This window comes from Homo sapiens, chromosome 3 (genome assembly GCF_000001405.40).
Source record: "Homo sapiens chromosome 3, GRCh38.p14 Primary Assembly".
In the NCBI taxonomy this organism is placed as follows: Eukaryota; Metazoa; Chordata; class Mammalia; order Primates; family Hominidae; genus Homo; species Homo sapiens.
Window position 1 is genome coordinate 126,109,313 of NC_000003.12, and position 13,148 is coordinate 126,122,460.

The 13,148-nt window shown below is 51.8% G+C and overlaps 1 protein-coding gene across 9 annotated transcripts in view, besides 1 other annotated feature; it reads right to left on the reverse strand.

Moving 5' to 3' along the window:
• Nucleotides 1-13,148, reverse strand: part of ALDH1L1 (aldehyde dehydrogenase 1 family member L1) — a 94,376-nt gene that overhangs the window by 5,743 nt on the left and 75,485 nt on the right. For 8 of the 9 annotated variants that reach the window (XM_024453325.2, XM_011512355.2, XM_017005613.3 and 5 more), the window contains 4 exons: nucleotides 8,693-8,786; nucleotides 5,245-5,344; nucleotides 3,470-3,568; nucleotides 632-797 (listed from right to left, as the gene is read on the reverse strand). In XM_024453325.2, the coding sequence (XP_024309093.1) occupies nucleotides 632-797; nucleotides 3,470-3,568; nucleotides 5,245-5,344; nucleotides 8,693-8,786 (459 nt within the window). The remainder of the gene's footprint in view (nucleotides 1-631; nucleotides 798-3,469; nucleotides 3,569-5,244; nucleotides 5,345-8,692; nucleotides 8,787-13,148) is intronic. The other variant, NR_072979.2, reaches the window with a different exon arrangement.
• Nucleotides 3,452-3,966: an enhancer, noted in NCBI's record as "H3K4me1 hESC enhancer chr3:125831607-125832121 (GRCh37/hg19 assembly coordinates)". NCBI's record gives its function as "activates a minimal SCP1, AML or CMV promoter by ChIP-STARR-seq in primed H9 embryonic stem cells {active_cell/tissue: H9 hESC(primed)}" and the evidence as "EXISTENCE:reporter gene assay evidence [ECO:0000049][PMID:30033119]".

Below are 13,148 nucleotides of genomic sequence, written 5' to 3' on the forward strand. Positions count from 1 at the left end.
ACAGAGGGTCCTGGAGCAGCAGGTGTGTGTGTCTGGGCTCAACTATAGCTGGGACATTGCAATGACCTTTGAGTTTGAAGGGCCTGGGGGACATCCAGGTGGAAGTGTCCAGTGCCGCTGGCTGTGCGGTCAGGAGCTCTGGGTGGGGTGGAGCCTGGAGGCCTGTATCTGGTAGGGTCTGAGCTGCTGCAGGGGAGAGATCCTGCGGGCAAAAAGTCCCCCATGAGAGGTGTTCCAAGCTAAGGATAGGCAGGGATGCACCTGCATTGAGAGAACAGGTGAAGCAACGGCTGAGAGGTTAACAGCCAGTGAAATAGAGGAAAAATAATAAAATCTAGTCTCATGAAATCTATGGGGGAGAGACTGTCAAGGCTGCGGTGACAGTAAGGGCAAGTCAGAGTCCAGTTCAATACTGAATAAACCAGCACTGAATAATGCTCGTCCCATCCCCGGGTCTGGCTGGTGCCCAAATAGCCACAGCCCAGTCCATCCCAGGTCCCAGATGGGGCTGCAGCCTGACTGTGTAGGTACCTGGCCTTCAGATGTCTCCAGTTCAGCTGGACAGGGAACCAGAGGCCATGGGACCTGCTGCCTCAATTGACCCAAGCGGACCTGACACACTCTGACTCACCTGGCCGAGGGACCTGATTCCCGCCGCAGACCAGTGTGGCCCCTTCCTTCACGCCATGCTGGCAGTACTCCATCAGCTTCACAAGGTGGGCATGGTGATTCTGCGGCCCGTGGTCGGTGTCCCTGTCCAGCGGGTTGCCCACCTTCATCTTCCGCACCTCTTCTACCTGCAGAAAGTCCTCCAAGTCAGGTGTGGCTTGTGCTGCCACAGTTTCTGACAATGATCCTCACCTGACTCAGCTCTCATGGCTGACCCCTGGGGAAAGTCCACACTCTGTTCTAGCCTCAGGGCTTTCTGAATTCTGACTCTAAATCCACCTTCCAGGCTGAAATCCCAAATGGCTCCTATGTGTAGAGGGACAGAAGTCTCCAAGGAGACAGGAGCCCAGCAACATATGGGCTGGAAATGGAGACATACAGGGGTGTGGGTGAGGAGGACAGAGGCCGGCATATTTGACTAGTTGAGATGGGGCTCAATACAACACGTATCTGACTCTGGTCCTGCACCAGCCTCATGGACCAAGAAGCTGAAGGAACTGTTTGTCCGGGGGACTCCAGGATGTGCGGTAGGTGGGATACACCAGCCCTGCTGCAATAGTCCTGGTGCCAAAGTGGGAAAGAAATTAAGTGAAGGGGAGGGGCCCAAGGCTCTAGTCTGCTGACCCTCCTCCTCCAAGGCCAGGGCATCTCACATCTTGCAAACTCTGCACCCCTAATCAGCCCTAATCAGACACAGGTGTGACTCGAGCACCCGGCACACCCCTCTGCTCTTCTCACCAGGGCCCACTGTGTGCCTCTGACTGTCCTGTCTCCACCCTGTAGCCAAACCCGGTTGCTTTTGTTCCTTATTCTCTGCTCCTGTCCTGTCGCCCCAAACCGCACCCCGATCAAATGGCTTTGTATCTTGGATACAAAGAACAAGCAGCCTACTGAGCCTCCTGAACACTGGCCTCACTTCCTTTATTTGGGATTGTGACTGTCCTGAGAATTATCCCTGGGACTCTGGCCCTTGCAGTCACCCTTCTGTGGAAGTCTCATGACTCCCTTAAGACCCCCAGACAGGACCTTGTGTGCACAGCTCTGTGTCCCCGCAGTCACACTCCCCCCATGACCGCCACTTTATCTCCAGTAGTCCCTGGGTCTGTATCCTGGTCCTGCTATTCCTGTGCCGGGCCCATCGTGGCAGTGGGCCTCACTTGGCCGGGCAGGCCAGCTCCCCAACTATGGAAGATGAGCTTGTGCCTCCCATCACGTGGTAGAGTCTGTTTCCTCACCCCTTGAATCTGGGCCGGCCTGTGACTTGCTTAGGCAGCACAATGCATGGAAGCAATGTTTCGTGCATTTCAAGAGGCCTCTCAACTTGTGCTCTCACTCTTAGGAGTCTTTCCACTGTCCACGTGAACATGTCCCAGCACACGCTGCAGAATGCAGGCCCCCAGGGCAACGACAGCTGTCCCACGAAGCCACCCGCTGCCCCGCTGCCCCTGAGTCTCACTGCAGATGTTTGGGCAAGCTCTGACAAACCCAGATGAGCCCCAACAAACCCCAGCCTAGACTGCCACTGCTGCCCACAGAAACATGAGCTGAGGGCAGGGCTTCATTTCCAGCCACTCCGTGTTGAGGGTCGTTATATGGCAAAAACTGTTCTAGCCCGTCCTAGAAAGTCCTTCCTTTTCCCACTGCTTCCGGACTCTGAGCCACCTCCCCAGGTCCAGCACCAGCTCTCCTCCAGGGGCCCCTCCCTCACCCCTCTGCTCATAGGCCGTCTTTTTCCCTGGTTTCCCAGGTACCATCTCTCTGAAACCATGTGTGGCGGTTGCTGGCTGTTTCTCCCGCATCCCTGCCACTATCCACTGGGATTAGATGCTGCTCTCCACAACCTAGGGGCGGTGGGGGGCGGTGCTCTTCGCGGAAGCTAAGCCAACCTCAGCTTGCTCCCCCCCTGGTATCATGGCCTGGATGAAGGATGGCTGAGGCCTGGCTCGTGTCAACCCCACAGTGTTTTCTAACAGAGGTGGTGAGGAAGGAGTCATGTCCCACTCTGGCACCATGTGGTGAGAAGGTAATGCTGGTGCCATCAGCCCCATACTCCCACCATATCCGAGCTGCTTGGAGAGGATGAAGCCAACCCGCTGAGGAACTGAGAAGCCAGGCATTACAAACCTCCCAAGGGGACTCAGGATGGCCCATCTGTCCCGAGGCCAGCATCAAGCCTGCTCTTCCAGGTGTGGCTGAGTGGATAAATCTGGTGGGAGACACTGTCCTGTGCCCACCAGATCCCCGAGGCCATGCAAGGTGGCTGCAGAGCCTGACGGGAGCTACTCTCCCCTGCTGGCGGCCCACAGCCAAGCCTACCTGCCACAGGGGCCCACAGCCTGGCCACTTGGCTCCAGGGGTATGCCTGTGTAGGGGGATTCGTGCTCCAGGGCCCCTGTCCATGGTCAGGCCCAGGCTGACCTGAGACCAGGCTCTTGCTCCATTCTGTCCAGTCCTCCCCTGGTCTCTTCTCTTTCCAGGCTTCACCCAAGAGTCCACTCTGAGTAAATCACCTGCACTGAATTCTTGCCCCAGGCTCTATTTCTAGGGGACCAACCCAAGATGGGCCCTTTTTGGTGATGTCAGTTTTGCTACAGGTCTGCTATTTCTTGGTGAAATAATAAAATCCAGTGAAGACTCAGCACAGCTCCCGCTGTGGGTTCCCTGACCCCCGGGGGGAGTGTCCTCCAGGAGGAGCCCAGCCTCACTTGACCCTGCCCTGTCTCCCCTCCTCCAACCCCCTCCAGCCAGGCGCTGCTGTCCCAGTGAACCAGCCGCCCGCAGACCCTGGGGCAGGACTTACCACTCTCCGCACGAACTCATCATGAATGGAGTCCTCCACAAAGAGTCGGCCTGCTGCAATGCAATTCTCTCCTTTGTTGAAGAAAACAGAACTCATCCCCTTCAGAGAATGGACAAGAACACCAGGTCACTGCTCCTCCTGGGACACCAGCCCCCGGCTCTGCCAGGGCCCAGCCGCCTCTTCTAATTAGGAAAGGAGGCACCCATGTGTCCTGATCTCCTCCTGTGGGCCCCACTCAATCCTCAGTCACCTCAAGAGGAGAGGTGAGAGGTAACTGTGTGGGAAGTGAAGACGCTGAGGCCCATGCAGTGACAGAGAGACACCACGCCCCAACTCCCACCACTGGAGGATAAGGCTGCCATCCACACTGCAGAGCATGGGGACCAAGTGGGAGTGAGCCTTGGCCTGCCTGAGACCCTCCTGCACCCTGGGTGGCTCACTGGGGCGGCCCAGGAGGTGCCGACTCCTGTTTCAGAGTCTACACTCTTGGGAGCTGACAGGAGAGATGCCAGCCGTGTGTGTAAGCATGGAGCAGGCGGTGGGTGACAGGGCAGAGGGTGGGACACAGGCAGGCAGCCCCGACATGGGTGGGTGAGAGGTGGGGCAGCCCTGGCCCAGGGAACTCCTGGCAGGAGTCCAGAACAAAGGCCCTCAGAGGCCCCAGGCAGCCTGCTTTTTCAAACTCGCCTGCTGTGGGAGACCCAGGGGAGGACGGAGAGCCATGGTCAAGCCTGGCTCTCCTGGAACCTGGGACTGCACAGCCAATGACAGGGCCCCGACCTCCAGCTCAGCACAGGGCCCAGCTAGATCCCCGTGCTGATGGGTTCACCCGGGCCCGTGAACAAGGCCCTTGCCTCCCTCAGTTTCTCCACCAAATGAGGTTGGACTCCCTTTCACACCCAAGCTAGGGTGTTAGGCCACCCTCCACGGCACAGTGGAACTTAGATAGGGCCGGGGGCATATTTGGGGACCTGGCTGAACATGGTCTTACTGGTTTGCTCCCACAGGAGTCAGGACAGGACCAAGGCAACAACAATACTAATGGTGAGAACAAGGACTGACACATGTCTCAAGTGGCACTTGCCACTAACCTAAGCCCTTCAGACATATTCATTCTGCAGCCACCCGGGAGGTGGGTATCACCATGGTCCCTATCCACAGGTGGGAGCACAGACGCCACAGAGGTTAGGTAACTTGCTCAAGGCTGCCCACTAAGTCAGTGGTGGAGCCAGGCACTGCACCCACGGCCACCGGTAGAGGGTCACTGTCAGCAGGGCTGGGCCCAAGTGCTCAGAGTTCTGCTTTGCTCTTTTATTTTAAAAACACACATTTTATTGTGTATATTTGAGGTTTACAGCATGAAGTTATGGATTACATATAGATGGTAAAATGGTTACCATAGTGAAGCAGATCAACACATCTGATTTGCCCTCTCATCAGACAGAAAAGGCTGCAATGTTTATTTCAGAACAGATGGAGCTGTGGCGTGTGTTTCCCAATTTCATATTTATATGTAATACACACACACACATATGTTATAGGCAGTTGATCTCAGCTATCCTGGCAGCTATGAAACTTCTTGGGAAGTATGTTTGGAGGGCACACGTCATTCTTCCCTAAGCCTGCTGCCTGCCACGCTATGCTTGTGATGACGCTATGGACTCCACCAGGGCTACACGTGTGAGTGTGGCTGTGGAATCAGAGACAGGGCCTCCTGGTCCCTACAGTCCCTGTTCCCGCTCACTGTCCCTGCCCCCTCCAGGCCCGGCCCTCACCATCTGCACAGCCTTGTTGAGGTCACAGTCAGCAAAGATGATGAGGGGTGACTTCCCGCCCAGTTCCAGGGACACCTTCTTCACGTTACTTATGGCACAGCTGCAAGGAACAGAGGGCTGGTGGGGCCGGTCCCTCCAGGGCAGGTAGGGGCATTGGGACCCCAGGTGGCAGGGACCTGGGTAGGCCCAAAGCATGCTTTGCTGCAAGAAGCAAGACCCGGCCAGTGCCTCCCCACTCCCCCCCACCCCTTGCGGCTTCACACGGCCACCTGCCTTTCCTTTCTGGCCTGTACACACCAGGCCTGTGCCCCACTGCCCCCTGGACTGCCCTTCCTGCTGCCCACTCCACACCTCATTTCCTGCAGGCCTGTGTTCCCTTCTCTGGGGTGCCTCCCTGATCGCCCCGTATAAAACCACAGCCTGCCTGTGCACCCCATCTGCTGTCCTTTCCTCTACTGCATGTTGACCTCTGACCCCACCTGCAGAGCATGAGCCTGGCCAGGGCAGGCACGCATCTGTCTGGGTCCTATTACAGCCCCGGTGCCAAGCACAGTGCCTGCACGCAGCTGGTGCTGCACAAATTAAGGAATACAAAACAGCACCATCCGCTGGCACAGCTGCAGGGGCCCAGAGGCTGGGGCACCTCCTTGTATTAGTGGCAGAGCAAACAGAGAGGCTGGGAGTCATGAACACATCACATCAGTGGGCAAGAAATGCACTGCAGGGATGCTGTCCTCAGCTGGACACTCAGTCAATAGCCGGCAGGTAGGAGGCTCCACTGGGGAGGAGAGGCCTCCTCTGCAGAAGCAACCCAGGGAGATGGCACCCATCTCAGCTGCAGGTCTGTGTGACACGGCTGCCTGGGAAGAAGAAAGCAGCAGAACCAGGGATGCTGGGGCAGGAAGCTGCTCAGAGCTCTGCTTTGCTCTTCTTTTTTTTTTTTTTTTAATAAATTTTACTGTGTATATTTGAGGTTCATAGCATGATTTCGTTTTTTAGTTTTGTTTGTTTGTTTTGTTTTGTTTTGTTTTGTTTTTAGATGGAGTCTCACTCTTGTCACCCCGGCTGGGGTGCAATGGCATGATCTTGGCTCATGCAACCTCCACCTCCCGGGTTCAAGCGATTCTTCTACCTCAGCCTCCCGAGTAGCTGGGATTACAGGCACGTGCCACCACGCCCGGCTAATTTTTGTATTTTCAGTAGGGACGGGGTTTCACCATGTTGGTCAGGCTGGTCTTGAACTCCTGACCTCAGGTGATCTGCCCACCTCGGCCTCCCAAAATGCTGGGATTACAGGCATGAGCCACAGCACCCAGCCTTTTTTTTTTTCCTTTGAGATAGAGTCACACTCTGTTGCCCAGGCTGGAGTACAGTGGTGTGATCTCAGCTTACTGTAACCTCCGCCTTCCGGATTCAAGCGATTCTCCTGCCTCAGCCTCTAGAGTAGCTGGGAATATAGGCATATACCACCACACCTGGCTATTTTTTTTTTTTTTTGTATTTTTTGTAGAGATGGGGTTTCACCATGTTGGCCAGGGTGGTCTCAAACTCCTGGCCTCAAGTGACCAGCTGGCCTCAGTCTCCCCAAAGTGCTGGGATTCCAGGTGTGAGCCACCATGCCCAGCCTAGTATTTATTTTTTTAAATAAAATGTTCAAATTGAGGTACTTTTTTTTTTGTTCTGTTCTATTTATTTATTTATTTATTTGAGCCAGGCTTTCTTTGTTGCCCAGGCTGGAGTGCAGTGCGTGATCTCGGCTCATTTAGCTTCCGTGTCCCAGGCTTCTTCCACCTCAGCCTCCCGAGTAGCTGGGACTACAGGCACGTGCCACCACATGCCTGGTTATAGCATGAACTACATATTGATGGTAAAATGGTTACCATGGTGAGGCAGATCAACATATCTTGCCCCCCAAACCCTCTGTCCAGCTCTGGAGTGCTCAGAGCTGACATTTCCTGAGCCCTCACCCTGGACTTGACTCACATGTGCTCAGACATGGCTACAACCTACACACCTCAGAGGAAGAGACCAGCTAGCTTTTGAATTAGGAGAGGCAAACCTGCAGTGACTACTTGCAGTTACCCCATTCCCCTACCCACGTCACTCAAAGTGCAGGTGCCAAAACCCACCCCCAGAAGTTCAGTGTCAGGGCTGGGGCAGGCTCCAGTGTCAGTCAGGGCTCCACCTGTGGTCTGGCCCTGGCTGGCTCTCCCAGCTTGTCAGTGATGGAGACCAGAACCCCTGCACTATCAAACTGCTGTAATGGAACTGGTGGGGGACCCAAGGCATGGGTGTGGCCCAGGTCATATTGTGGTTTAGTGACAGAGTCTGGGAGATGACACCAGTCAATTTGAGGCCAAAGTCCAAGGATGAAGACATGAGTTGACCTAGATCACTTCTGTCCATAGAAATAGAATGAAAGCTTCAAACAGTAGCCACATAGACAATGGGACTTTTTTTGATGGTAGCCACATTAAAGGAGTTCGAGACCAGGCTGGGCAACATAGCAAAACCCCATCTCTACAAAAAATTTAAAAACTTATCCAGGTATGGTGGCACGTGTCTGTAGTCCCAGCTACTCAGGAGGCTAAGGTAGGAGGATCGCATGAGCCAGGGAGGCAGAGGCTGCAGCCATGATCACGACACTGCACTCCAGCCTGGGTGACACTGTGAGACTCCATTGAAAAAAAAAAAAAACCTGAAAAGAAGCAGGTGAAATTAATCCTAATAGTATATTTTATTATATTTTATTTAACCCAACTAATCAAGAATATTATCATTTCAACTTGAAATCAATATAAAAACTTAATGAAGGCAGAGCACAGTGGCTCACGTCAGTCATCCCAGCACGGAGATGGGAGGCCGAGTCAGGTGGATTGCTTGAGCCCAGGAGTTTGAGACCAGTCTGGGCAACACCATGAGACCCCATCTCTATGAAAAACACAAAAAATTAGCTGGGCTTGGTGGTGCATGCCTGTAGTCCCAGCTACTTGGGAGGCTGAGGAGCATCACTTGAGCCCAGGAAGTCAAGGCTACAGTGAGCTATGATGGTGCCACTGCACTCCACCATGAGTGACAGATCAAGACCCTGTCTCAAAAAAAAAAACAACAACAAAACAAAAAAAAACCCCAAACATCCTATTAATGAGCTATTTCACTTTTTTGTGGGTGCTCAGTTCTTGAAATCCATGCGTGTTTTATACTCTCAGCACCTCTCGATCCAGCCCCTTGCTGGTCTGACAGGGCTCCACAGGTCTCCGCCCAGGCCTCCCCGGGGCTTTGCCAGAAAGGCAGATGCCTCTTCAGCGTTTGCATAGAGCCCAGCAGGGCCACGGAAGTGGCTGTGCCCTGGAGCCTGGGAAGCAGGACACAGCTCCTGGGACAGCACTGCCATGTCCCAGGCGCAGCCCACAGCAGCCCCTCCTCTGCTCCACCCCCAGCCACGCACCTTTTCATGATGTGCTTGCCCACCTCTGTGGAGCCTGTGAACCCGATTTTCCTCACATCAGGATGGTCTGAGAGTCTCTGGCCGACCAGGGAGCCTGTGGGCGGGAGGGAGGGGGGAATCAGAGTGGTCCCCCTGGTGCTGGGGAGGCAGGAGCCCACCTCCAGGACTGCACAGGTTCACTGGGGGTCTGAGGCCCTCAAAATGCTCCCCACATGCTTGATCCCCATGGTGCCTGGGGCTCATGGAGCCTCGCTCCCTATTAGGGGCTGAACTGTGTCCCCTAAAATTCAAATGCTGAAACCCTCATCCCCTGTACCTCTGAATGGGACTGTGTTTGGAGATGTGGCCTTTACATAGGTGATTAAGGCAAAATGAGGTCATTGAGATGGACCCTAATCCAATCTGACTGGTGTCCTTCTAAGAAGAGGAGATTTGGGCAATGACCATGCGAGGACATAGAGGGTGGAGAGCCGTCTGCAAGCCCAGGAGAGAGGCTGCAGGAGAAGCTGACGCTGCTGACACCCTGATCTTGGACTTCCAGCCTCCAGAACTGAGAGATGATAACCATCTGTTTCTGAAGCCCCAGTCTGCGGAGCTTTGACATGGTAGCCCAAGCAAATCAACCCACTCCCCACATGGCTTTTCACCATCAGGCAGACCCCAAGGTGAGGGCACCAAACCTTCAGCTCTTGCAGGGGCTCGAACAGAGACCCAAGGATGCCTGATCAGGTCCCCGAGGATGTGGCATCCTAAGCATCATAGACTCCAAAACACCCGCCCTCAGGTGAGCCAGCCACAGAGGCCTTGCCACCTGCTGTTCCTCCCAGGGAATGCCGTGATTCCTGCCCCGTCCCACGCCCCCAGCCCCTACTCCGAGCCACGCCCTGCACAAACCCTGTCCCCAACCTGGCTAAGTCCTCTCTGTCCCTCAGGTCTCCATCTCAACGAGACTTCAGAGTGGGCTCCCTGACGCTGCCTCCTCCCAGACTCAGCGTAGCTCCCCACTTAAGCCATTATCTTGTTTTGGCTTCTGACTCTGCACCCTCCTAATTCGACTCTTACTTCTCTGACGGCTCTTTTTCCATCTCCTTTCTCACCTAACCTTAAAATACCCAGCACCTCTGGCTCTGTACCAGGCCCTCTTCTCTCCTCAGCTTACATTGCGTGCTCAGCTGATCTCACAGGCTTCCAAGGGCCATCTTCAGGTATGTCACCCCCCAACCAAATCGGCCTCTCCAGCCAAACTCCTCTGGGATTCAGATCCATTGGTCACTCCTCTGCCTGCTTGGCATCTGCACTTGGATGTCTTCTGGCTTCTCAAATTCAACATATTTGAAACTGAACTCTTAATCGTTCACCTAGACCTGCTCTTCCTCCAGGGTTCTCCATTTCAGTAAACAACTTCTCCTGGCAGCCATTTGGTTCAATCCAAGAACCCAAGAGTCATTCTTGACACCTCCCTTTTCCATCCCATGACTCGCTCAGTCCAGAGCTCCTGCACCTATCCAGTCCCTCCATCTTCCACCACTCCCCTGCCTCCAGGCTTGTAAAATTCACATGCCCAGGCACGCCCATGAAGGTTCCAGTTTGGCAGGTTTGGAATAAGACCCTTGTATCCTCCCTCTATATACAGTTAAAGCTCTACCAGTGATTTTGATACTAACTCCATTCCACCACTCCCCATTAAATCACTGTTTTGGGGAGAAAACGTTTGCAAAAGATATATCTGACAAAGAACAGGTGTCCAAAATATACAAAGAACTCTCAAAACTCAACAATAAGAAAACAAACAACCACTAAAAACTGGGCAAAAGACAGAAATAGACACATCACCAAAGAAGACAGACAGATGGCAAGTAAGCACCTGAAACAGTGCGCAATGTCATTTGTCATTAGAGAATAAAAGACTAAAACAGCAATGAGATACCACTGCACAGCTACTAAACAACAAAAATCCACAACACTGATGATGCCAGATGCTGGGATGGATGTGGAGCAACAGGAACTCTCAGTCATTGCTGCGGGAACGCAAAATGGCACAGCCAGTCGGGAAGACAGTTTAGCAGTCAGTTTAAAAACCAAATGCACTGTTACCATATGATCCAGCAACTGTGCTCCTTGATATTTACCCGAAGGAGTTGAAAACTTACGTCCACACCAAAACCTGCACACGAATGTTTACGGCAGCTTTACTCAGAATTGCCAAAACTTGGAAGTTACCAAGACGTCCTTCAGAAAGTGGATGGATAAGTAACTGATGTGAATCAGACAAGGGAAATTATTCAGTGCTAACAAGAAATGAGCTATTAAGTCACAAGAAGCCATGGAAGAACCTCAAATACATATCACTAAGTGAAAGAAGCCAAATGAAAAGCCCGCATATGATTGCAATTACATGACATTCTGGAAAAGGCATAACGATGGAGACAAGAAAAAGATCACTGGTTGCCAGGGATTAGACAGAGGAAGAGATAAAAGGTATAGCACAGCAGTGAAACTACTCTGTGTTACACTCTAATGGTAGATGCAAGGGATTACACAGTTGTCAAAACCCATGGAATGTACAACCCAAGAGTGACCCCTAAACTACGGACTTCGGGGGATAATGAGGTGTCAATGTAGGTCATTGTTTGTAACAAACATACTCCTCTGGTGCTGGATATTAGTAGTGGAGGGCTGTGTCTGTGTGGGGGCAGGTGGTGTATAGGGACTCTGTACTTTCTGCTCAATTTTGCTATCAACCTAAAACTGCTCTAAAATCAAGTCTATTTACTAGTAATAATAATAATAGTAATAAAAATAACAACACTCTCTTAGGCTATTTAAGAAATATTTGCAAAAAGGTATCATATATCAGACCACGAAAATTCTCCATTTTAGAAAACAAAATTTTTACAAGCTGTTATGTGTTGGACTGTGCCTCCCCCAACCACTCACTAGAAATTCATAGGTCACCATCCTAACCCCCAGTACCTCACAATGTGGCCTTATTTGGGGATGAAGTCAGTACAGGTAAAATTAGTTAAGATGAGGTCACTGGGGTGGGCCCTGATCCAAAATGACCAGTGTTCTTATAAAAATGGGAGATTTGGGCACAGACACCACATCTTCAGGGAAATGCCGTGTCAAGATGAAAGCACAGATCGGGATGATGCTTCTACAAGCTAGGAGGAGGCAAAGAATTAGTCTTCCCTAGAACCTTTTAGACGGAGCATGGCCCTGCTAACACCTTCCATCCAGACTCGTAGCCTCCAGAGCTGCGCGGCGCTGCCTTGCAGTGGTTTATGCCACTCGGTTTGCAGTGCTTGGTGACAGCAGCCCTGGCAAACTCACATACAGGCCATAGTCTCTGATCATGACATAATACAATTAGAAATATAAGAACGGAATTTTAAATTTTAGACAAAAAAACAACTTGGCAATTGTTTTTAAATCTCTTTTTACTTACTGGGTTAGAGAGAAGACCAAAACTACAACTATATGATATTTAAGAGTAATAAAAACATGAACACAACCTGCTCAAAAGGCATGAGGCAGGAGTGCATTTCTGGAAGGCCAGCTTGAGGAGCCCTGCGGACAATTCCCCAGGGAAACCACTATCCTGGTGAAGATGATCTAAAAACAACCACTTAAACTCCCTGGAAATTCTTCTAAGGGCATACGACAAATGGAGAAACATTCTTCAAGAAAATCTGACTCTCAGTAAGAGCAGGGAATATCTGTAGCACTGAAGGCACAGTCTGCTCCCTCCCCTTGAGGGAAGCTCCACTCCAGGCAGGTGTGGCCAGGAAGGCAGCGCTTCTTTCCTTCTCAGCTCCCAGCGAAGGAAGCTGGCATCCACCAGGAGGTGCAGGCCACCAAGCCCTCTCATTTCTGCCAACTCTCAGTTGCAGAAGCTAAGTTCTTGGTGACTATGGCTAAGATGCTGGGGCCCTTTCCTCCACCCAGACCGCACTCATAAGGGGAAGACTCTACCTCAGGTGTGCCAGATGGAGAAGACAGTACATGACTGTATTCAAACTGCAAGGCAGAACAAGTGCAAAGAAAGAACAAGAGTGTCAACCCAGAATCTTACATCTAGCAATACTGTGTTTCAAAAAGCAGAGGCAAATAAGGATATTGCCAGATAAACAAAAACAGATCATCTGTTGTTAGCAGACCCACCTTACAGGAAATACTAAAAGAAGTTCTTCAAGCTGAAGGCAAGTGACTACAGACAGTAGTCAGAATCCACAGGAAAAAGCAAGGAGCACTGTAAAGGTAATTAGGTAATTATAAAATACAGTATCAATGCATATTTTATTTGCTTTCTTAACTGATTTAAAAAGCGATTGTGTAAAATGATTATATACATAATTGTATAATTGTGGGGTAACAAATAGAAATCTAACATATTGGACAATAAAAGCAGAAAGGAGGTAGGTGGGAATAAAACTTAAATGGAGTAAGGAAATGA